This window comes from Homo sapiens, chromosome 6, assembly GCF_000001405.40.
Source record: "Homo sapiens chromosome 6, GRCh38.p14 Primary Assembly".
In the NCBI taxonomy this organism is placed as follows: domain Eukaryota; kingdom Metazoa; phylum Chordata; class Mammalia; order Primates; family Hominidae; genus Homo; species Homo sapiens.
The window spans coordinates 15,956,148-15,982,032 of NC_000006.12; the positions used below are offsets into that span (position 1 = coordinate 15,956,148).

Sequence of the window (25,885 nt, forward strand, 5' to 3'; positions counted from 1 at the left end):
GAACCTCTTGTCATTAATCCCTCCATGATGGAAGCTCATACCTAAAAAGGAAAGTGAAATTGACTCAATATTTACAACTCTATGGTGTCTTCTCTTTGATCTTAGTCCTGTTAGCAGCAGCAAATCATACGAGTATGCAGCAACCTCAATTCTTGCCTCTTCAGAAGAAATAATTCAACAAGGGGCATAAGGCAGAGGGAGAGACGGAGGCAAGTTTGAGAGCAGGAGTGGAAGTTTACTAAAAAGTTTACAGCAGGAACAAAACGAAGTAAAGTACACTTGGAAGAGAGCCAAGTGGGCGACTTGAGAGATTCAAGTGCATGACGATTTGACCTTTGACTTGGGGTTGTATACATTGGCATGCTTCCAGGGGGTTGCATTACTTCTCTCCTGATTCTTCCCTTGGGGTGGGCTGTCCGTGTGCCCGGTGGCCTGCCAGCACCTGGGAGGGGCTGCACGTGCAGTGTGTTTATTGAAGCTGTGCTCATGATCACTTGAGGTTCTTCCGTTACCAGCAGAGTGTTCCTAGAGGAACACTAGAGGTCATACACCGGGTAAACGCCTCCATTTTGCCTCTTAGTGTGCATGCTTAAGCCCACTTGCTCAACTCCTGAGATCTTATTGGGAAGCTGCTGATCACCAGTTTCAGGTGTTTTCTGTGTATTGGGAGACTGCCTTTCCCTGACGCTGGCTGCAACCCATTATTATTTTAGAGAGGCAGTTTAACAAACAACCGCCTGACCATCACCTGATGGTCGCCTGATAATCCTGGTTCAGGGGACCCTCTCCTGCCCTGCTCAAGTCTGCCTAACTACCTACTGTGACAGTCCTGTCTTCTAAATAAACATAGACTAAGGTGGATCTTCAAATACCTTCCATCTACCACCCATTTTTCCCATCCCCACACCCCCAAGTCTAGGCAAACATTTTCCAATCTATCAACCACTCCTTCTTAACATGAGGAATAGACCCTGTGCCCTTCCAGGCTTTCTCCTCTGAAGAGGCTCTATTTTGTCCACCTTTTCATCTAAGTCCTTTAAAAAAAAAATCATTTGGTTCTTGAATAGGCAATACCTGCATGCAGTACAGAATTCAAAAGATACAAGTGTGTTTCCTTCCCTGTCAAACTCCAGCCACCCACTCCCCTCCTCCAATCACTCTTACTGGTGTCTTATTGTCTTATTCTTCCTCCTATTCTGTATATAGTCAAGGTTCATTGAATAGGCTGAACATACAGGGCACAACCAGAAAACAGCTTTGGGTTGTTTTTTTCCTCATTACTATCTTTAAACTCAGCAGACGGTTTTTGTTTTTTGTTTTTTTCTTTTTTCCAGCATATCAGCCAAAATCTTTTAGGCATTCAAATGCCTGTTTTAGTATGAGATTTAAGTTTTAGTCTTACACTTGACACAATGCTTCTCTCTCCCCTGCAGCTCAGACTGGACCTTCAGACCAGGCACCAGCAGCAAAGAAGTGGAATGTAGTTTGTTACTTCCCTGTGCCTCTATCTCCTCTCCACTATTTCTGATGCCTCCAGGATTAGGGTTGTTAAAGGCGTGATTAGAGGGAAAGGAAGAGTCTTCCTTCATAAATACTGTTGTTATTCATCCTTGATGCCCTATGTGGCCATGTGCTAATATATCAATACAGTCTCAAGGCAGAACACAAAATAGGTGCTCAACAAGTGTTAAGTGAATGAATGAATTTATGAGTAAATGGATGACTGGAACTCAGCAATAGGTGTGTCCCAATTGACAAAAGATTAGAAAACACCAGCGTATACCATTAAAAAGGACAAAAAAAAATATGTATACACAGCTCTGCTTGATACACCAAGGTCCATGGGGGAGAAGAGATAAACATGTGCATTCAAGTTATCACTCTAAGCCAACAATGACCTTTTAGAAAATGTAATATCCAGGACTGTGTTAACATAATACTAGCACAAGGATAGTGGAACTCTGTATTTATATTGCTTATTTTGAATATTAAGAGTTCTCAGGTAGGTTCTCTCAACTTGCAAACAAGCTGTAGTCATTTTTTAGCCCTAAGCCAGACTTCATATTTATCCTTATGAAATTTTATCTTTTTAGTTTTGACCCATGGTTCCCCTCTCTTGTGATCTCTTTTTAATACTTATCTATTATTTAAAATATAATTGAGCCTCCAAGAGTTTTCCTCTGAAAATATAGCAAGATCTTTCATGTGTTTATTAAGTGAACTAATAAAAATATTGGCCAAATACAAAGCCATTGGAAATCCTCCTCTAGTCTGAGACATACTTTTTGACACAATAGCATCGTTTACATTCAGTATCATTTAGGGTTAAGTTCAGCTGCATGTAACAGAAAATAAATAAATAAATAAGATAAGAGTTTAGTTCTTTCTCACTTAAAGTAAACCTGCAAACCAGCAGTACACAGCTAGTATAGCAACTGTGACAGGTACTAAGGACCCAAGGGTTTACTTTCTTTCGGCTTCATAACATGATCTTAAGACCACCCAATGGGTTAAGATAGCTGCTGGAGCTCCAGCCATTACATCCCTAATCTAACCAATAGGAAGGAGAAGGATAGAGGCAAAGTGTGTAACTACTCAATGGATTCTTCCTGCCTAGTGTACAGATAAAATCAGACCATGGCATTGCAATAAAGAAAGTGTTTAATAGATATGAAGCTGGCCACACCACATGGGAGACAGAGTTATTACTCAAATCAATCTCTCTGAAAATTTAGGGGCCAGGATTTTTCAAAGGTAGTTTGGGCTAAGGGGTGGGGATGGCTAGGCAATGGGTGCTTGCTCTGATTGTTTGGGGGTGCAATCACAGGGGTGTGGGAAATGGTCCTCCTATGCACTCAGTCATTCTGGTGGGGCCACAGGAGTGGTTAGTGGGTCCAGGTGGAGCCAACGATTGTCAGACCTGCAAAAAACCTGAAAAGATATCTTAAAGGGCCAATCTTAGGTTCTACAATAGTGATGTTATCTGCAGGAGTAATATGGGAAGTTGCATAGCCTGTGACCTCCAGAATAATGGCTGGCATTCATTCATGTCTACACCTTAGCAGAATTCAGGCTCCTCTATCCTCCTACACTGGTGGTCTCTCATTAGCTTTACAAAGGCAGTTGAATTTGGGGGAAGGGCTATTATCATTTAAACTGTAAACTAAATGTCCCCCAAAGTTAGTTTGGTCTAAGCCCAGGAATAACTAAGGGCAGCTTGAAGGCAAAAGGCAAGATGGGGTTGGCTAGGTCAGATCTCCCCGACTGCCATAATTTTCTCACTGTTATAATTTTTGCAAAGGTGGTTTTAATGGGACCCCTTCCTTTTAGGAAGACTTGAAAACATTGAGATTCTGTCACCCAGACTGGAGTGCAGTGGTGTGATCTTGGCTCACTGCCACCTCTGCCTCCCAGGTTCAAGCAATTCTCCTGCCTCAGCCTCCTCAATAGCTGGGACTACAGGCGTGTGCCACCACGCCCGGCTAATTTTTGTATTTTTAGTAGAGATGGGGTTTCACCATGTTGGCCAGGCTGGTCTTGAACTCCTGACCTTGTGATCCACCTGCCTTGGCTTCCCAAAGTGCTGGGATTACAGGCATGAGCCACCATGCCCAGCCCATGCTGTACATTTTACTTAACTAGAATCTAGTCTATATTTAAGAAGAATGTGAGAAAATTTTTGTTAAATTCCTTGTGAGTATTATGGTTATAGTAATAACTATCTAATTCTTCTGATATACTAACTTAACACTCTTACCCCAAATCAAATGAGTTAGACAAAATTTATCTGTAATAAATCCATGTTTGTGTCTAGTTATCACCATGTTCATTTTTTCCTTTGATTGTTCATAATCCATAGGTTTAAATTCTATTTGAGAATTTGGGGGGACTAAAATCTGTAAAACAAAAATAAAATCCTAAGCCCCCTAACCAATTATGAATCCCCCTATGGGCCAAGGGGATCCCAGAGAAGTCTGAAAACCAAATTCCTGGCCATGATGGAAAAGGAGGTTGGACACACCTCATCGTACTCCCTCCCTTTAGGAGTTCAGGCAGCACTGACCAGCATTAACATTAAAACAGACATCATAAGACTGACACAACAGACTCTTCGTGGCAATAAAATTCCAAATTCCAGCCTGACTCTGGTGTAGCATCACATGGCAGACTGAAGGAAATAAAAATATTTTACTACCAAATATATTTCTTTGACATATTTTGAAATGGCACTGTGAAGCCATCTTTTGGGGGGAACTGCAGAGAACTGCAGAGAATCTCGCTTAATACGGTTCAGCCTTTCCCAGGTCTAGAGGAGATTAAGACTCTGACCCCTTTAAGGGTCCAAAAGGAGACATTTACCACCTATTCTCTCTGAAAGCAGTTACCCGGAGGCTTCACCTACGTAACAAGAACCTTGGTCTCCACAGCTACCCTTAGAACTCAAGCATTCTTTTTTACTGACTTCAAGGCTTTACAAAGCTTAACTCTTAACCAAGTGACAATCAGAAAATCTTTGAATCCACTTACAACCTGTCAGCCTCACTTCACCTTCAAAACATCCAGGCTCTTTAGGCTGAACCAATGTACATTTTTAATGCACTTATTTATGATTTTACTTACAGTTCCTGTATCCCTAAAACATAAAAACCAAACTGTAACCTGACCACTTCAGGCATACTTTCTCAGAACCTGTTGATACTGTTCTCCATGCCATGGTCACTCATATTCACTCAGAATAAACCTCTAAGTAGTTTACAGAGTTGTTGTTTTTGTTGTTTTCTCACTGACCCATCAAAATAAGTAGTTTTCTGAATCCACTTCCTCTTTTGGAAAGTAGTACACACGCTCATCTCTTCTGTGCTGAGCTGATTTCTGAAATAAAATCAAAAGAAGTTCATCATTACAATTGCAACTTCTCTAGTTCCTTGGGTTATAATCTATATCCATTGGGATTCAAACTGAAACACAAATACTAGGTGGAATCAAGAATTCATTCTAGGGATTTGACTTCAGGCACTTGCGGACGCTTGTCTTACATCTGGTGTTGGAGTCTGAATTCTGCAGGGCAGCGGGTCAGGGTGGCAAGGCAGATGCAGAGCAGGGAAGTGAGGACAGACTGGAGCCATCTTCTGCCTTGTGTTGTCTCCAAGTCTGGCCCCTTTGGCTCAAGGACCTAAACATGTGCTGCCTGGGTCTGAGAGCTGAAGGAGTGGATCATCTGGCTGCTTCTGCAGGCCCACAACATGAGCCAGCAGACTAGCGGCATGCCTCAGATGCCCTGGTGATCCTCCTCCCACCTTCAGAGCGGGGAAAGAACAAGGCTGCCACTTCCCTTTTGGCTTCCAACTGTGGTGCAAATGTATCTTTGCTGGGCCCTTGCCGGGAACCATGCAGGGTAGGGGATTCTGGGAAATGTAGTTCCAGCTGAGCTAAAAGGCCCCACAAAGCTGTCAATTTGAAGTCTTTAAGGCTGAAATCCTCCTACTATCTTGTGACCTATTTTTTCTTAATAATGTTCATCTTATCCTTTCTACTTTAAGTTTATTTCCCTTGGTAGAGAAAATAGAAAGTGAATAGATAGAGTAATCCTGCTTTCTCTCCATTATTCGCTAGCGTTGTGCTGTATGCACCCAGCAGTGGGCTACTCCCCTCTTGCTCCCTGTGACTCTGATGAGAGCTAAAGTGTCCTGTCTGTCCTTGGTAGGTCCCATGAGCTCCTGCTCTTCTGAAATGTCCCCTTCTCAAGCTATTGGATCAGATCCATTGTTGTTCTGAATGAAATTCATTGTTTCCCTTCTTTTGTCTGTGCTAAAATCTAAGAGGGTGTGGGCTCATTGTCTCAAGGCTTATACATTCACACTTCTCTTGCTTTAGAGTCAAAAGTAAGTCTAATGTAGGAATTCCCCTTCCTTCTCAACAGTGGGGCACCACACCACCAAGGCCATGTAACAGGACAGACATACCCTTCTGGCTACCTGCTGCCCTTCTGTGATCATTTTTCCCTTTGAGACTGCCCTTTATGCAATTAAAAAAAATAATTTGGACAAAACTGTGTATGTGTATGCAAACATGTGTGTGTCTACAGGATATAATTTGCCCTGGTAAGGCGGGCCTACCCAGTAGTTTGACTTCACAAACACTGCATCTCCTGGGGGTGGCTTGGAGCAGTCTGTAGGGAGTATGGAGGTGAAGAGCAGAATTGGCCAAAACCTCTAAAAAGAGAATGACAGAGAGAGAGAGAGAGAGAGAGATGTATTCTTTCCCTCAACAAAGAGTAGAGGCTGACTTTAACCCCTGAGAAAGAGAGAGAGAGAGTGAGTGTGTGTGTGTGTGTGTGTGTGTGTGTGTGTATGTGTGTGTGTAAGGGCTGCCAACGGCAGGAAAAGCTACAGAAACAAAAGCCTTCACTGCAGAGTCAAAAAATGAACAGGAAATGGTCATTAACATCCTGCAAATGTTCTGATCTGCTGTAGAGGCCCTGACTCCTAGGTGATTAAATGTGAAAGAATTTCAAAAATCAGGCTGTGAAATGAGTCTTTTTAGTTAGGAGAGAAGGAAAGCCCTATTGGGTAATTCTAAACCTTAAGAACTGAAGGAGAGTCTCCAAATTTCAGCGCCAGCATCCTATTTAATGTAGATCTCCTCTGCTGCTTTCTTCAGACATAATCCCAAATTTCCCCCTAAAAGCACCGAGTTAGTTACTAAGTATTTTGGTAGCCATTGCCTCCCAAGGGGACAAGGCTCTTCTATGTCCTCTTGGAGCTCTCTGAATTGTCCCTTCTACCCTAAGTCACCAGAGTCAGAAGACCCTCGAAAATTTTTGAACTAAAACACAAAACGGAAAACAATAAGAACAAAGGGTATTTTCTCCTCTTTCTTTATTTACTTGTTTTAATTGGTATTTATATTTACCTATGTGAAACCGTATTGCTCTGACCTTGTCACATGGCATGGATTCATATCTGGAATGAGGTTAAGTCTTCTGGAGCTGTGCTACATTTTTATTCTTAACCTGAGGAATATGAGAATTCCGACACCCATTGGTGATAAGCCTCCATTTACTTCTAGATTTAACCTAATACCATGCAACAGTCTTGATCCACAGTGCTTGAGTTAATTGTACTGGACAAGGCAAGTGTGTGTCCAGGTGGTAGACATGTCTATGAGATGGATTAAAGATGCAACAGATACAAACATCTCTAATTCAGAGGTGCTTTATCTTGTACATGGCGGGAACAGCAACTGCATATCTAGCACATGGTATATACATAATAGCAAACATTTAGCATATTGTACCACTATTTAATTCTTACAGCAATCCTATAAGAATACATATTGTTACATTAATAATTTCATCTTATAGATGAGAGAACTAGGTTCTGAGATATTAAGTAATTTCTTTGCCCAAGGTCTGGGCAGTTTTAGAACTGGGATTTTTGACCTGGCCATTACACTTCCTGCTCCTCGGAAAGGTCTGAAGCAGCTCCACTTTTATAAGTGATGGAATTAGGCTCCAACTCTGGTTAACCTGCAGGAGGTTTCTGAACAGGAACAGTTCACAGCTTGCTCAGCTGCCATACTTTTCTCTGTGGTCTTTGTTTTCGGCTGTGTTTTGGTTTTCAAGACAATCATGAACCTCACCACAATTGGAAGACATCTCATCTTTGATGAGCTCTGACAGGGCTGATGAGTTGGTTCCTGGACTCTCCACGGTTGCTGTTGGGCTTTAGGCTAGAACTCTTCTGTACTTTCATCTCTTTGAATACGTTTCAGGCAGCAGTTAAGCGGGTCTGAAATTACATGTGAAATCAAATTTAAAAACAACTGATTATTTTCTCTTCCTCAGTCTTTCATCTATAAAATATAAATGTGAGTCCCTTTTTTTTTTGTTTTAGAACTAAACTAGGGTCTGTTTGCCAAGTGCGGTAAGACCAGATATCCACACCAAGTTTTGCATCAGGAGAAAGAAAGGTGTTTATTTATCGGGCACCAAGCAAGGAGGACTATGCAGCCAATGCTTAAATCCTGACCTCCCTGATGGCTTGTAGGTTAGGGGCACATTTCAGGAAAGCAGAAGTTACAGGCACAATTATAAATCAATACATGGCACTTATTCCTTGGTTTTGTACTAAAGGGGTGGGATATTTTGGGGAGTGGCTATAAGTCATAGGTAGATTCAAGGATTTTCTGATTTGCAAAAGCTTTATTTAAAAATTTAGGGTCAGCAGAAAAGAATGTTGATTCTAGCTCGTGGGTGTGACTTTCTCCAGGCCCCTCAGGAAGAAATTTAGAACAAAGAATGGGGCTCAAAGTTCAGTCCCTAGGTCCCCCTTATCTGAGGTCTATGGTGGGCAGATCCCTCTGGTGGGGGTCAAGTTTCTGAAAAGCAACTCTGGAAACATGTGTTAAGATATTATCTTAATTTCTGTAGGGGAACCAAACATCCCATGATTCTAGCTTCCATGGCTATCGTTTTAGGCTACAATTACCTTCTTGCTTATCAAGTCGCTTATTTACTTTTCTGGGCTAGCTAGGTACCTAGAATTTCACTTGAAGAAACTCAAGATTTTCCTTCATTTCTATGCTTGGAGGGTGGGCACAGGTCCCTAAGAGGTGAGTCCCCGCTCTGTTTCACGTTTTCATTTTTTCTGAAATCTACAGCACCTCTCATCAACCTCTAGTGTCAGTTTCACAGTGGTTCATATTAAGGCATGGTTGGCTGGAGTAGCTCATCATCATTTCTATTTAAAAACCTAAAAATGTGACAGTCTTAAAGTTAGACTGCTGAGGATAGGATGGGATCCTTCATCAATATGGAGGCTTCTGTGACCTAATCTCATCAGAAGATCCTTGGCTTGGTTGATTCAGTGGCCGGGATGGGTTTTGCACTGGCGTCTTTGAGCAGTTTCCTCTTTGTGACAAGGCCAGTGAGGGTTAGGCTTGTAGTCTAGGAATGGTAGTTCTGAATCAAGATCAAGTCTTGGTCTAATTAGTGATATAATCTGTTCAACCAGTAAAATTAATACATGGAATTTGCCCAAGAATAGCTGAAGCTGGTACCTTTTATTGGAGAGACTCCACTGAGACCCCAGATATCTCAAAATACCTTTCCTTTTGTTTCACCTTGGCTTATCTTGGTCCTATTACCTGCAATAAGATTATTCCCAATATCCCAGACTAAACTAGGGTCTGTTTGCCCGGTGCGGTAAGACCAGATATACACACCAAGTTTTGCAGCAGGAGAAAGAAAGGTGTTTATTTATTGGGCACCACGCAAGATACTATTTATACAACAGATCTCAGAAGTTGAGCCACAGGATTTCGATTTTTTGCTAAAGTGTAAGAATGAAGACATTATGCTGAGAAGCTCTGAAGAAATTGTCAAGATTTCTTCTACTAGTACATGTTAGTGAATTAGAGTAGGCAGTGTAGCCTTAGATAATGTATGAGTTAAAGTGTGTCCCCCCAAAAGATATGTTGAAGTCCTAATCCCTAGTACTTGTGAATGTGACCTAATTTGGAAATAGGATCTTTGCAGATATCACCAAGTTAAGACAAGGTCATTCTGAAGTAGGGTGGGTCTTAATTAATATAATCATTGTCTTTCGAAAAGGAGAAAAGACATGGACACAGGGAGAATGCCTTGCGACAATGAACACAGGCATCGGAGTGCCACGTTCACAAGCCAAGGAATGCCAAGGACTGCCAACAAAGCCAGCAGCTAAGAGAAAAGCATGGAAAAGATTCTCCCCTAGAGCCTTTGAAGAGATCATGGCCCCTCCTGTCACCTTGATTTTGGACTTATGGCCTCCAGGGTTGTGAGAGAGTACATTGCTGTTGTTTGAAGCCATCTGGTTTGGGGTAATTTGCTATGGCACCTCTAGGAAGCTCCTACAGACAGCAAGGAGAGGCTGGCCCTGGTGTAGGGGTTATGGATTTCCATGGAATTAGAAAGCAGGCACTGTCTTCCTTGATGGCTATAAGTTAGAGGCAGGAGCCACCGGCAGCTCTGTATGGGTAATTTTTCAGGCCTGGGGTTCATTCCATGTGGGAGAAGCTCCTGCAAGCCAACCACAGTTCTGCTAAGGCTCTGGGCTGTTGCCTTCAGGAGGAACCCAGGCTAACCGAGCAGCACAGCACAGTTTGCAAAGGATCAGGTGCTTGGGTGGGTGCCAGAAGAAAGAAGAGTTTTCCCAACAATGTCTGTTTCACAGCTGTGCTCAGGGCCAGTTTCCCTGAAAAAAGACAGAACACATCAACTTGCTTCTGTGAAATCTAGGAGTTAACGTACCCGGTGCTTGTTCCTGGCCTGTTTGATTCTGCGCCACCTTTCTTAGGGTTAACTGACATTGCCCATTCTGATTTTTCCAACCTAAGCATTCCCTGTCTCTGTGTTTATGGCCTGCCAGCAAGACAGTTCAGGGAGCCGATTTAGTTACCTTTAGTCTGCTAATTCCACTAGGTGCTTAATAAATATTGGCCAATAAATGTTTATTTTTGCATCCAGAAAACCAATGACATGAACGCTGTGGTGCATTATCCAGAATTCTGCTCAGGACTGAAGCACTTACTATTCCAGCTGTTGGGAGTGTTGGCTGCTGAGAGCTCATGGGCAAGTCTCTCCTTAAGCTTTGCCTGAAGCAGGCTGCCTGGCCCAAAGTTATGTCCTTTGCTGGGCACTTTCTCCATTTAATGACTAGCCAATGCAGGAGTATAAAGGCCCAGTCCCCTTGCCTCAAGTAAGACCTCTCTCAAGGGTCATCCCTCCTCCAGAGCTCCCCACAGGATGGGCTGAGATCTTTATTGCAGCTACATCACAGTTTGATTTCTGCCCAATTCTCCTTCCCTTGCTTTCCTGCAGGTCTTTTTCCTAAGAACAGTCACTCCTCAGTGCGCACTCACTCCCTCACACAAATCTCAGTCTCGAGGTCTGTTTTCTGGGGACACTGATCTAAAAGATCCTTCTGCTTGATCCTATGTAAGTGAGAAATACACTAACTGCACTTATTAGGTACAGAATCTGAAATGTAAGAGCTACAGGAAGTAAAATAAAATGCCACCCTGTCTCTGCAGTGTCTCCGTCCCCAGACTAATGGCTGAGCCTTTAAGGGTCTACAGCTCATCAGGGTTCTCATGGGTTCTGAGCACAGCGCCAGCTCTCAGTAGACATCTGTTGAATAAGGTAATGGACAAGTGTTCAGGAATTTACTTTGGCCCTGAATCAACTAAATGGGCTTTTAAAAAGGTTTTCTATCCCTTTGAGGCTGGGCACAGTGGCTCACACCTGTAATCCCAGCACTTTGGGAGGCCGAGGTGGGCAGATCACTTGATGTCAGGAGTTGAAGACCCGCCTGGCCAACATGGTGAAACCCTGTCTCTACTTAAAAACAAAACAAAACAAACAAACAAGCAAAAAAACAAAAAAGCCAGGTGTGGTAGAGTGCGCCTATAATCCCAGCTACTCAGGAGGCTGAGGCACGAAAATCACTTGAACCCAGGAGGCGGAGGTTGCAGTGAACTGAGATTGTGCCACTGCACTCCATCCTGGGTGAAAGGGCAAGACTCTATCTCAAAAAACAAACAAACAAAAAAGGTTTTATATCCCTTTGTAATGGGGAGGAAGGTCTTTGGAGTCCGTATTAGTTTCCTATGGCTATATTATTATTAAGGCCAAAATAAAGACAAGAGAAATTCATTCTCTCACAGCTCTGGAGGCCAGAGTCCAAAATCAAGGTGGCCCAGGCCATGCTCCCTCTGAAGACTCCAGGGAAGGGTCTGTCCAGGCCTCTTCCCTGCTTTGGTGGTTTGCTAGCTGTCTTTAGCATTCCTTAGCTTGTAGATGCATCATGCTGAGCTCTGTCTTCATGTTCCCACGGCATTCTCCCTATGCGCGTGTCTCTGTGGCCAAATTTCCCCTTTTATAAGGACACTGTTATATTGGAATGAGGTCCCATCCTACTCTAGTATGACCTCATCTTAACTAATTACGTCTTCAACAACCCTACTTCCAAATAAGATCACATTCGGAGGTACTGGGAGTTAAAAACTTCAACACATAAATTTTGGTAAGGACATAATTCAATCCGTGACATGGCGCCTCCCACCATTTTCTATGGTGTTTTCATTTTTGGGTTCTGAATCCCAGATTCTCCACCTTGCCCTGTGGTAAGAATGCTGGGGCTGCAGAAGGAAGATGGCAGAAAAAATGGGACCCACAGCAGCAGGTCTGAGTCAGAGGCGGTCAGGTTCTAGTTGTCAGAGGAGTGAGAATATTGAAAAGCCCAACCTCAACGATGGGGCCTGGCTGGATTGGGAAAAGGTTCTGTGCATTTTGTTGGTGGCTACAAACACAACTATGTATCATTCTTTAATTGATGTAGATACTCTTCCCTCAAGACCAGGGAACTTCACTCCTCACTCCTTAAGTAGAAGCTATGCATATAATTTCCTTCCAAAGTGTGGAAAGGGGAAAAAAAAGAGTCATTTTGCAGCAGAGAAACGTGACAAACATCCCCTCAGCCAGGAGATCAAGATCAAGGTCAACAGTGATAAGTTATGTCGATAGTGCGTAGCCTTGATATGATGCAATGAAAATGACACTTCACCTCTGTGATCTTCCTCCCCAAAATTCACAACCACATATAACCATGAGGAGAAAGATCAGACATGTCCCAACTGAGGGATGGCCTACAAAATACCTAGCACTCCTCAAAACCATCAAGGCCATCAAAAACAAGAAGGGTCACAGAAGGTGCCATAGCCATGAAGAGCCTAAGGAGACATGATGACTAAACGTAACGTGGCATTCTGGAGAGGACCCTGGAACAGAAATAGACATTAACTGTAAACTAAGGAAATCTGAATAAAGTATGGACTTTAGTTAATATGAATGCACCAATATCGGTTCATGGAGTGTAGCAAATGGACTACAGTGGTATGTTAATAACAGGGAACTGGGAAAGGAATATGTGCAAGCTCTAGCTCCCCAATTTTGCTGTAAATCTAAAATCCTTTTAAGATGAAAGAGTTTTTAAGAATATAATTTTAAAAGTACCCTTTGATTATTTTCTCTAAGCACTGATCGTTCCACCTTGTGTTGAAAGGATTTATCTTTGCTTTCACTGGACTTTCTTGGCTTCCTTTTATCATAGCCTTAACCACAGGCTACAGTATAATTGTTGAAAAGGCACCCATGCCCTTGTCATGAGTCTGTGCCTCTAAGGCATTGCTGCCTACATGTTTGAGATTTCTTTGGCCAGACATGTCTTTATACGTCTATTCTAATTTGTGGTTCTCAGCCTTCCCTCTGCCAAGATAGCTCTGCGGAGTAGTTCTCCACCTGGGCAGCACATGGAAACAACCGGGAAAGTTTTACAAATCCTGTTGCCCAGGCCCCAGCCAGCTTCAGGTGATCCAATGTGCAACCCAGGTGGAGAACCACTGCTGTGTGCTCCTCCCCCATGGCTGTCCTCTGTGTTTCTGGGACTTCCTACCAGCCCCACTCACTCCAGTTCTGCTTTATACTCCTACTTTGGTAAGCTAGGTGATTTTTCATTTCAAAAACTTCAGTAAAGAGTTCTCTCCTTTATTTCTTGCAAACAGTTTTATCTCACAGCTACTCAAGAACAGAAGGGAGGCTTGGCGTGGTGGCACATGCCTGTGATCCTAGCACTTTGGGAGGCAGAGGGAGGGAGATTGCTTGAGCCCAGGAGTTCCAGACCAGCCGAGGTAACATGGTGAAACCCTGTCTATACAAAGATGAAAAAAAAAACAAAAACATTAGCCCAGTGTGGTGGCAGGCACCTATAGTCTCAGCTACCCAGGAGGCTGAGGTGGGAGGATCACTTGAGCCCAGGAGGTCAAAGCTACAGTGAGCTGTGATCGTTCCACTGCACTCCAGCATGAGCAACAGAGTAAGACCCTGTCTCAAAATAAAACAAAACCTAAAACCAAAAAACAGAAGGCAGAGAAGAGTGGCCACTGTAAAAGGTTGTTTATTTCCAGGGATAATATTAAAAAATGCATAACAAGCAGGACATTGACCAATCTGACCACCAGTGGGAGGTAAATAATTGGTAAGGGGCTTATTGGTTGAATACCAGCCCTGCTTATTCTTCCCCTACCTCTATTTAACCAGAGAACTTAAAGGAGGAGATATGGAGAGGGAAAGAGAAAATTCTTCATTCTTACTGTGCCTGCCATGCTGCGAGTAATGGAGACACTGAGGCACCCAAGAGACAAAACTAGAGTTCCCATCAGCTGCTCAGCCCCTCTCAGAACTTTGAGAAGGAAACAAGATGGAAGCTCCTCCACCTTGGATTAATTTGCTCAAGGTGTTCTCCTAAGATTATGACTTATACTCCTTGGAAATTTGTGTAATTGATGCCTTTGGAAAATATGTCCAAGACTCACCTTTCACTCTGTTCCGGAATGAAGGCTGAATCCAGAGAAGCTCACCCTGCTCCCTTCTCCAACGTGACACAGAATAAAGAGGGTCAGAGTACAGGTCTTTTATTGTTTTAACCTGAACCCTGGAAGCCAAAGCCTGCACAGGCTTATCTTCCACAAGTATGGGTCAATCACTTTGACCTATTGACTCTGCATCTGGTCAAGCACTCCAGAACGCCATGGACAGCTATAGGATTCCCCAATGAGCAAATGTTGACTTACCCTGTGGGTCTCCTGACACTATTATAAAGTCTATTCCATCAGAGACTAAGTTGTTAAAAAAATGAAGAACTTGGTTTTAGTTTATTGTCTGTTGTTCAAGGAGTATTTATGCAAAATTGCAATATTACTACTCCACATGAACCAATCAATATACTGCCACTTTCAAAAGTTAAAAGTGGGAAAAAAGATGGTCTTTGTTTTAGAATGTGCTAATATCTTATTCTTTTCTTTCAATTTTCTGTTATATGCTTAAGAAGCTCTTGTACTCTCCCTTAATTTTGCTATAAAATATTCTTTACATTAAATATTATAACAAAGACAAAAATTAATTTGGTCTGCATAATACCTTCTCTCTCAACCTAAGTGTCCCTCAACAGATGATTGGATAAAGAAAATGTGATATATATATGTATATATATAAATATATGTATATTTGACTTTCAATGTCCTTGTTATGCATACACACACACACTCACACAAACAAACCATGGAGTACTACTCAGCCATAAAAAAGAATGAAATCATGCCTTTTGCAGTAACACAGGTAGAACTGGAGGACATTATCCTAAGTGAAATGACTCAGAAACAGAAAGTCAAACACTGTGTGTTCTTACTTATAAATAGGAGCTAAATAATGTTTACAGATGAACATGGAGTACAGAATAATAGTTACTGGAGACTCTGAAAGGTGGGAGGGTCGGGGGGTGAGGGAAGAGAAATTACTTAATGGGTACAGTGTACATTATTCAGGTGAAGGTTACAGTGAAAGCCCAGACTTCATCACTACATAATATATCCATGTAACAAAACTACACTTGTACTTTTTACATTTATACAAATTAAAAAAAAGATTTCAAATGATTTTTAAATGAATTACATATATACCCTAACTTGTTTATTTTCTTTTTCCTTCCAATGTTTGAAAAAATGTTTTTGTATAATACAAACACATTTCCAACATTAAATATCCTTAAAACTTTAAAGTTGAAGACAAAAATATAATAACGATAAGCAAAGACAATGTTTGATCCAAATAACACATATTACATCTTTTAAATGAAGGTGTTTTTCATTCTGATTTGTGCAACTGGTTTACTAGGTTTTCCAGTATTTCTGCCGCTTGACTGTATCTGCTGACTAAAGTTAATTCTGTTAATGGTTATTATCCTATAGGTTTTTTTTTTTTGTAGTTTCTAAATTGGTTTAATTTGGAGAAAGAACATTTGCTGTAGATAAAATAACAATGAAAGAACATATTTTAGTAAAACTTACGTACATGCCACTCTATGTTATAATAAATGTTTCATCTGATTTTCAGATTGTTGTAATCTTTTCACTATCACTTGTTCATGAGTTTATGCAAAGCAGTAATACTTTGATAAATGATTCTTTACACACTCGAAAATTTTTTGTGCCTTCGGAGTGTTTATCATAATGAAACTTTTAAATAACTATTTTATTAAAGGCGAATTCAACTGAAGAATAGTTTTGCTTATGTTGAGTTGCATTTTGCAATATTGTCATGATAATGACTTGATGAGGCTTTGCTTTTCTGATTATTTTGAATTAGAAAATATTTGCTTATGTTTTCAAAAAGTTTTAAACTGCCCCTGAATCACTCTCTTTTAATAAAGTTTTTAAAAGCTGTTTTTATTAAAGTATGGTCCATACAGAAAATGCACAAATCGTAAGAGTACAGCTCAGTGAATTATAACAAATTGAATGCCCCAATGAACAACCATGAAGGTCAAGGTAAAAAATATTACCAGCACACCCAAATTTCTCATCGTGCCCATTCCAATGACTACATTCTCTTTCCTCAAAACTTCCCCTCTTCTGAAAAAACAAAACAAAACAACAACAACAAAAACCCACAACTGTCCTGACTTGTAACACTTTAGTTTTTTCTGTCTGTATTTTATATGAATGGAATCATACTATATAATCTCTTTCATGCCTGACTTCTTCACTGGACCTAATGTTTGTAAAATGCATTTGTATCACGAGTGTAGGTAATTGCATTTATTATCTTTATTTTAATTTCATTGTATGACTGTACCACAAGTAAGCTATCTATTCTACTATTGATAGACGTTTTGGTTATTTTCAGGTTGGGGCTTGTGATGGTTAATTTTATGTGTCAACTTGACTGAGCTATAGAGTACCCAGATATTTTGTTAAACACTATTCTGGGCATTCCTGGATGAGATTTACATTGCATCATTAGGCTGAGTAAAGCAGATTGCCCTCCCTAATGTGGGTGGCCCTCATGTAATCAGTTGAAGGCCTGAATAGAAAAAAAAGGCTGATCCTCCCCTGGCTAAGTGATAATTCCTCCTGCCTACTGGTCTTCAAATTGAGAGGTTGGCTTTTTCCTGCCTTTGGACTTGAACTGAAACATCGACTCTTCCTGGGTCTTGAGCCTGCCAACCTTTTAAGTGGAACTGCACCATTGGCTCTCTGGGTCTCAGGCCTTCAGACTCAGACTGGAACTTGCACCATTGGCTCTCCTGAGTCTCCAGCTTGCCTAGGGCGGATTTAGGACTTGTCAGCCTCCATAATTGCATGAGCCAATTTCTTATAATAAAACTCCTTCTATATATACAAATCCTATTGGTTCTATTTCTCTGGGGAACTCTGACTAATTCAGGGCTCTTATTAATAATAGTACTGTGAGCATTTTTTTTTTTTTCCAGACAGAGTCTCACTTTGTTGCATAGGCTGGAGTACAATGGTGTGACCTTGGCTCACTGCAACCTCCGCTTCCCGGGTTCAAGCAATCCTCCCACCTCAGCCTCCTGAGTAGCTGGGACTACAGGAGCATGCCAGCACACCTGGCTAATTTTTATATTTTTAGCAGAAATGGTTTTTCACCAGGTTGGCCAGGTTGGTCTCAGACTCCTGACCTCAGATGATCCACCCAACTTGGCCTCCCAGAGTGCTGGGATTACAGGTGTGAGCCACCACGTCCAGCCCTGTGAGCATTTTTGAACCTGTCTTTTGGTGTATTTGAGGCATTTTTCTTAGCTATATATCTAGGAGGGGAATATCTAGGTTAAAAGGTAAGCATAAGTTTGACTTTAATAGATACTAACAGTTTTCCAAAGTGGTTACACCAGCTCTTTTACCATCTCCACCTTGCTCACCAGGAGAGTACGAGCGTCTTCCTTGCTCCACATTCAGACCAGCTTTGTGTTGGTTTGGTTTGTCAGTCTTTCAAGTTTTATCCATTCTGTGAGGTGTGTACAGGTATTGCATTTTGAGTTTAATTTGCATTTGTCTGGTGACTAATGAGGTTGAGACATTTGTCTATCTCCTGTGAAGTGTCTGTTCAAATCTCATTTTCTGTTGGATTATCTTTACCTCGATATGTATAATAAATTTTAAAAACCACTTATGATTTCCTCTTCTCTAAATTTTTTAAATTCTTCACTTGTTAAAGGTAGTGTTTTTGTCTACTCATTATCAAAGATGAAAATTTTATCTCACCTATCTCTAGAATTCTCTTCCTCTACCTCAAAATTTGTGTTAGTTATAATTATTCCAGATTTTGTCTTAAAATTTTAAGTAATACACTTAAACTTTTGCTTTGTGATCAAATATAGAGTCTGTTGATTCTTCACTATAAAAAATAAGTCACCTAGAAAAGTCCTTGGCACATAGCAGGGCTTCAGCAAATACTTGCTGAAGAGAGGAAGATAAAGGATAAGAGAGTAGAAAGGAGGAGTACATCCATATTTTTCTCCCCCGTTCCTATGCATTTATGTCAGTAATATAATTTTGTTTATATTTTGAAGGTTTGTAAAATTTACATTTTGATCTATATTATGGTTTCCTTCCATGTTTTATCTATAGGCTGGTTTAAAAAATTCAAACTAATGAACAGTATATGATCATGTGATCACAGTGACATATTGTATCCCCCAAAATGGCTACAGCAGTATTTTCAGTCCCACATGAGCTTCCAAAGCCTTGCCACTCTCCCATCAAGAGCTGGAATCTATCTCCCCTTCCTTTGAGCCTCGGTGGGTTTCAGCTGACTACCTGGCTTAATAAAGTCCAGTGCCAGTGATGCTTTGTGACTTAGTCCAGATATAACAGGCAACATAGCTTCAGCCTGATTCTTTCTTGGAGAGCTGAGCCATGTCTGGCTACACTGAAGCTGCATGCTGGAAAGCCCACATGGTCATAGAGAGATGCCAAAGAATTCCCAGCTGTCCCAGCCCTCAGCTGTCCACCTCTCTTCTTCTTCCCAGTACGGGCACTAGACATGTGCACACAGAAGCCTTCAAGATGACTCTAGGACCAGCCTCCATTGAACTGCAACCTCACAAGAAACTTTGAGCCAGAACCATCACCCAGTTGAGCTACTCCCAAATTTCTTGCCCACAGAAACCATGAGAGAGAGTAAATGATTTTTGCCTTAAGCCATTAAGTTCTGAGGCAATGTGTTAGGTAGCAGTAGATAACTAGAACAATCACTTACTGTAAAACCAGTTAGCATGGTTGAACCCATAGAGGAAAATGAATATTGTTCTATTTTATTAAACTTGTGCCACTCACAGAAAAATATTTTAAACATCAAAATCAAATTAATGCTCTCTTCTTACTCTACTCAAAACTATGCCACATTTTCATTTATTTCATATCCGAAAACAATTGCTTTGTACAGCTTAAAAAATTTTTTTTTTCAGTTTTTATCTGGCTTTCTTTTTCTTTGTAAACAGGAAAGATAGTTGCTTTATATTTTGTATTAGATTCTACCTTCTTCTTGAAGGCATTCTTCACAGAGTTCTCTGACCTGTTCATACTGACTGCTACATAGCTGCTATCAAACTGGGATTTCATTTCAGTACTCTCTAGATTAGCACCTAGTATTTTTGGGTCTCTTTCTTGGATTCCTTTGTTCTATTAGAACATACACTAAGGGCTGGGCTTGGTGGCTCATGCCTGTAATCTCAGCACCTTGGGAGGCTGAGGCTGGAGGATTTCTTGAGGCCAGGAGTTTGAGACCAGCCTGGGCAACATAGCAAGACCCTGTCTGTAAAAAAATAAAATAAAATTCGCTGGGCATAGTGGTGCACACTTGTCCTAGCTACTCAGGAGGCTGAGGTGAGAGGATCACTTGTGCCCAAAAATTGGAGGCTGCAGGGAGCCATCATTGCACCAGTGCACTCCAGCCTGAGCAACAGAGCAAGACCTTATTTCTAAAAATAATTTTTTAAATTTAAAAATAAAAATAAATAAAAAATAACACTAATTTTTAAGGATGCATGAATCATAAAGTTTCTGAATCATTGCATATCTTGTAATCTTCTCAATTTTGCCCTCACTTTTCATTGCTTAGCCTCCAATCATCTAGTCCCCAGTCATTCTCCCTCAATATTTTAAAGACATGACTACACTGTCTACTAGCTTTCAGTGTTGCAGGACAAGGTCTATTGTCTATCTTATATTTGTTCTTTGGAGGTAATTTATTTTTCTCTCTGAAAAACTCTGGGATTTTCTCTTTAGCCTTAGTGTTCTAAAATTTATACAGACATGTCTAAGTATGGGCGACTGTCATTTTATTCAAATGCTTGACATTTGTTGGGCTTTTTCAATCTGAAGACCTGAGTCTTTTTTCAGAGCAAAGCAATTTTCTTTATTGTGTCTTGGATTACATTCTCCCTTGCATTGCTTCTAGAACTCCCTTAAGATAAACACTGGGCCTCTGTCTATTTTCACTGACGTAATTTTTCTTTTATATTTTTTTGCCTTTTTCTTTTTATATCTGGCCTTCTGGGAAATGCCTTTTATCAACCATGTCCCTAATTTGGTCTTCAGCTTTCATTCTATTTAGATTTATCATTGATTTTAAAAAGAATTTGACCATCATTTTAAATTTGCAATAAATTTTTCTTGTTCTCTAATTGATCCCCTTTGCCTTCAAAGCAGCCAGTGCTTGTTTTATAGATGCAATAGCCTCTCAAATCTCTCTGAGGATAAACATCAGTTTAATCTTATTGTTTTTTCTGTTTCTTCAGAAATGATCGGTGTTCAGCTCCATATTTCTCTTGCCTCTCATTCATCAAATGCCTGGAGATCCTTTCTCAATCGTTCATATGTATAATTGAAGAATTCTGTTGATTACATAGGTCATATAAGATGTATTGCATGAAGAGCTGTGTTTATTTGAAAGGCCATTTTCTGAATGGGAAGGCTGATCATGATTCTGTGTAAGTGGATGGCTCTGCCACAGTCAAGCTTTATCTAGCCAGCAAGTTCAGTGCTATTACAATTGCCCAAAGGGGAAGGACTTTATCTATATGCAGGGTGGAACTACACTTTGGACTGGAGCTGGGTTTCTGTTTATTGTAGAGGCTCTAAAGCCTTTCAGGCTGGACAATACTTCTGTCGCCACTCAAGCCCCAAGTCCCTCCTATAGAGAGTCTACTTTCTACAGAATATACTCATTGGTGCTCCAGCTGTGGGTAAATAGCTTCTCTATACATGGAGTGGGGAGGGTGGGCCTGGCTGGCCCAGCTGTTCTGTGGTTTATCTCTTCTGTGGTTACCTACCCTGATCACTGCTCCAGGTCCATGTTTGTTCTTTTTTACTCATTGGCTCCAAGCTTCGAGCCTCTCTAGGCAAGGACTATGAGTGAAGCCACCTCACTTGCATGTTGATGGCTTGTATATCACTCTGCTTTGTTATATCGATATGGATCATATGCTTTCTGACTCCCGGAAATTTATCCAAGTTATTAAAATTTCTGCTCATGACACTCTGTTTCAGCATTCTAATAGACTTATTCATCCTTTAGATATCTTTATTCTCATTTCAATAGGATCTTGGAAGAAAGAGTAGGCAAATATGCATGCTCTGTGTGCCTTGTTGAGCTGGGATAGTCCAAAAAAGTCCTCAATTTTTAAATTACCTAAAAATATTTTATTTAGGCAATAAAGCATTTCTACATTTCCCTAAATCAGAGAAGACAGAATTATGTTACTGTTTCTAATGGAAAAATTGTGGATTCAAAAATCAGAAGAATCATCTTGTCCACTATTGATATGGTTTGGACTTGTGTCCCCATCCAAATCTCATGTCGAATTGTAATTCCCCAATGTTGCAGGAGGGGCCCGGTGGGAGGTGATTGGATCAGGGAGGTGGATTTCTCCCTTGCTGTTCTCATGATAGTGAGTGAGTTCTTACAAAATCTGGTTGTTTAAAAGTGTGTGGCACCTCCCTCTTTGCTCTCTTCCTCCTGCTTCAGACATGTAGGATGTGCCTGCTTCCCTTTTGTCTTCCATCATGATTGTAAGGTTCCTGAGGCCTCCCCAGCCATACTTCCTGTACAGCCTACAGAACTGTGAGTCAGTTAAACCCCTTTTTTTTCCTTGATAAATTAACCAGTCTCAGGTAGTTCTTTACAGCAATGAGAGAACGAACTATTACAAAAATCATCTTTCTAACAATTAGAGTAGCATAGTTATTTAAGGCTTGGTCTTTGAGTCAGACAACCTAGAATAGATTCTTGGTTACTTTACTTACTAGCTAGGTGACAATGGGCAATTACTTGAACTCTCTTGGCCTCAGTTTTCTCATATGTAAAATAGAGATTATGATACCTTCCTTGCAGGGTGTTATAAAGATCAGAGTACTCAACAGAGTACCTGGCATGAAATAATCTAATAGTAGCAGTAGCAGCAGCTGCTGCAATACTAGCACTATCATCCCAGTTATGAGACATTCTCCCTGTAATTATTCTACCTTCTCCTTGATATTATTGTTCTAATTCACCAGAGCTATAAGACCTTTATGGGTTTCAGTTTTGTTTGGATGACCTTCAATCCCAGCCTCTGCTTTAATTTCCAGATTGCAGAAAGTATGGCAAAGATAAAGGAGTACAAATTAAATACAGATGATGGAACAGCATAAATATAATAATAATGCCCAGTGTTAAACAGCAAAGATTTTCCAGCATTTTTCTCACTTGTTCTTGCAAAATATTATGATGTATGTAGTTTAGGTATTTACTGGACATTTATCCAATAAACTTTTTTGAGCAAGTTAACTTTCTGGGCACCTGTTGTTGTAGGGGAGAGCAATTGTTTTCCCAATTAACACAGGATTTTTAAAAGACACATTTAAATCAAATATATTTCTGACAATACAGGGGCCCATGTTCTAAATGATAGAGATACTCAGTTTTAAGAGCTGGCAGGTGTGCCTTGGAAACCGGAGAGTTGAAAAGCACTGCCCTAAGCTAAGAGTTTCTTTTCAACAATCTCTTTCTTTTAAAAATGGGGCAGTCCAACACAGAATTTCGATATATAAAATAGACAAAGGAGGGGCTGCTCTGGTTGAAAAGGGGGTTTGGGGACCTGGAATCTGCCCACTGGGTATCCCCTTTCCCTTCAGCAGCTGCCAGTGGGAAGGCTGCAGAACCACATCTTTATCCCTCTAGAGCAGTGATCCCCAAGCCCCGGCCATGGACCAGAACCGGGCCTCACAGCAGGAGGTGAGTGGCACACGGGTGGGCATTACTCCCTGAGCTCTGCCTCCTCTCAGATCAGCGGCGGCATTAGATTCTCATAGGAGTGCAAACCCTATTGTGAACTCTGCATCCAAGGGATCTAGGCTGTGCTCTCCTTATGAGAATCTAACTAATAATGGCTTATGATCATAGGTGGAACAGTTTCATCCCCAAACCACCCCCCATATGGAAAAATTGTCTTCCATGAAACTGGCCCCTAGGGACAAAAAAGTTGGGGACCACTGCTCTAGAGTTCTGAGGAGCAGCATTTGAAAACCATTGATCTGACTTATTCCAAGGACGAGTTCTCCAGTTTCCATCAAAAAGCTACTAGATTTAAGTGTCTTCTTTATGTGCCAGACGAATGTCTACAATAGTTTTCTTTTTTTTTTGAGACGGAGTCTCATCCTGTGGCCAGGCTGGAGTGCAGTGGCACGATCTCGGTTCACCGCAATCTTTGTCTACCGGGTTCAAGCGATTCTCTTGCCTCAGCCTCCTGAGTAGCTGGGACTATAGGCATGCGCCACCACACCTGGCTAATTTTTGTATTTTTAGTAGAGATGGGGCTTCACCATGTTGGCCAGGACGGTCTTGATCTCCTGACCTCGTGATCCGCCTGCCCTGGCCTCTCAAAGTGCTGGGATTACAGGTGTGAGCCACTGTACCCGGCCCTACAATAGCTTTAATCTTCCTAATTACCACTCCTGGAAGACATTACTATTCTGTTTAGTATAATGTAAAGAAATCATAGTTCAAAGAGGTGGGTATCTTACCCAAAGTTCCACAGCTCATAAACAGAGGATTGGGCTTTTCACTCACATATGTCTGACTCCAAATTCTTTGTCTTTCTATTGCCTCAAAATGAATGAGAAAATCTCTAAGCTCCTTTCTGGCAATACAGTTCTACAATTTCAAAGTACTTTTTAAAGAGAGGACTATAAAGCATTGATCAAAACATACACACTTCCAGACGCAGCAGCTCATGCCTGTAATCCCAGCACTTTGGGAGGCTGAGGTGGGAGGATCACCTGAGGTCAGGAGTACAAGACCAGCCTGGCCAACATGGTGAAACCCCATCTCTACTAAAAATACAAAAGCTAGCGGGCGTAGTGGCAGGTGCTGGTAATCCCAGCTACTCATGGGGCTGAGGCAGGGAGAATTGCTTGAACCTGGGAGACAGAGAGTTACAGTGAGCCGAGATCATACTATTGCACTCCAGCCTGGGTGACAGAGTGAGACTCCATCTCAAAAACAAAACAAAACAAAACAAAAACCATACACACTGAGCCAAAACTGAGATAGAGAAGGGAATCTACTAACAAAAAAAAAAAAAAAAAAAAAAGAGAGATTGAGAAAGAAAATTTGAGTGCAGCCAGGGATGGCTTTTGACTAGTCCATTTTCTAAAATCATTGGCTCTTTCTAAATTTATTGTAGAGAGAAATATTTTTTTAGATGCTTCCCTCCCAGGTAGTTTTGCTTGGTTCCATCATTCTCAATAGAAACCCTGGTTACTTACTCTGCTGTTCATGGCCATTGGGGTCCTGTTTAGTTTGTGATGATCTCCTTCTAGACCTGTTCTGTCAGTGATTCTGTTGCTGAATTTCCTGGTCTCTCACTACGTGCATCGTACTGCACTAAGTGCCAGAGGCAGAATCCCCGCCCTTAAGGCAGGTATACACAGGTTAGAACAAGAGAGACATATTTGGGAAGATAACAAGGAAGTCATACTGCACATGTCAGTGAGAATCACAGAAAAGAGTATTCTCGAATGCAGATGTGGGAGTGGTCACTGTGCTCTTGTCCAGTTAGGAAAGGCTTTGGGGAGGAAGAAGAGCTTGAACTGAGGCTCCAGGATAGATGGAACTTCAAGTAAGAGAGGAGAGGTGAGGTTAATTCCAGATAGAGAAACAGGCAATGGGTAGAATGATTTGGCTGGAGAAGAGGGCTTACGTCTGCCAGCACCGTTATCTATTAGCAATACCGAAGACTCTTTCTGTCCACCCCACTTCACCACAGGAAAATAGGCCCAGTAAAAGCAACTTATTCCATATGAGCTAATCCTGAGTCTGAAAAAATAAAAATAGTGTCTCATCAAAAGGGAGAAGATATCACTTCTACATATGTCTTCCCTTGTGTCAGCACCTTGGGGCAGGAATTCTGTAGATCTAAATCCTTATGAAATAAAACTCTGGGTCAGGATTGTATTAGTTTTCTGGGGTGGTCATAGCAAAGTACCACAAACTGGGTGGCTTAAAACAACAGACATTTATTCTCTCACAGTCTGGAGTCTAGATGTCTGAAATCAGGGTGTTGGCAGGGCCACACTCCCTCTGTCACCGGCAGGGGAGAATCCTTCCTTGTGTCCTCTGGCTCTGGTGTCTTACTGGCAGACCTTGGCATTCCTTGTCTTTGCATCTACAGCACTCCAATTGCTGCCTTTGTGGACCCATGGCTGTCCTCTCCCTGTGTGTCTCTCTCCACTTCTTCTTTTTTTTTTTTTTTTTTTTGAGACAGAGTCTTGCTCTATCACCCAGGCTGGAGTACAGTGGTGTAATCTTGGCTCACTGCAACCTCCGCCTCCTGGGTTCAAGCGATTCTCATGTCTCAGCCTCCTGAGTAGCTGGGATTACAGACATGAACCACCATGCCTGGCTAATTTTTTTTTTTTTTGGAGAGACGGGGTTTTGCCATGTTGC

At 41.3% G+C, this 25,885-nt stretch overlaps 1 long non-coding RNA gene across 2 annotated transcripts, besides 2 other annotated features; it reads right to left on the bottom strand.

Moving 5' to 3' along the window:
* Positions 1 to 347: 347 nt before the first annotated feature.
* On the bottom strand, positions 348 to 24,789 carry LOC105374949 (uncharacterized). Of its 2 annotated transcripts, XR_926532.3 has the most exons (4): positions 24,706 to 24,789; positions 7,642 to 7,790; positions 4,789 to 4,872; positions 348 to 525 (listed from the first exon to the last, which is right to left on the bottom strand). It is a non-coding gene; the product is annotated as an uncharacterized LOC105374949 (long non-coding RNA). The 2 variants fall into 2 exon arrangements; XR_007059479.1 differs by lacking the exons at positions 348 to 525; positions 7,642 to 7,790; positions 24,706 to 24,789 and adding an exon at positions 5,037 to 5,350 and having other exon boundaries at positions 2,644 to 4,872.
* Positions 5,191 to 5,485: an enhancer, noted in NCBI's record as "tiled region #8871; HepG2 Activating non-DNase unmatched - State 21:Repr, and K562 Activating non-DNase unmatched - State 14:Gen5'". NCBI's record gives its function as "activates a minimal TATA promoter and a strong SV40 promoter by Sharpr-MPRA in HepG2 and K562 cells {active_cell/tissue: HepG2 | K562}" and the evidence as "EXISTENCE:reporter gene assay evidence [ECO:0000049][PMID:27701403]".
* Positions 6,550 to 6,619: an enhancer, noted in NCBI's record as "active region_24095". NCBI's record gives its function as "activates an Ori minimal core promoter by ATAC-STARR-seq in GM12878 lymphoblastoid cells {active_cell/tissue: GM12878}" and the evidence as "EXISTENCE:reporter gene assay evidence [ECO:0000049][PMID:35858748]".
* Positions 24,790 to 25,885: the final 1,096 nt, after the last annotated feature.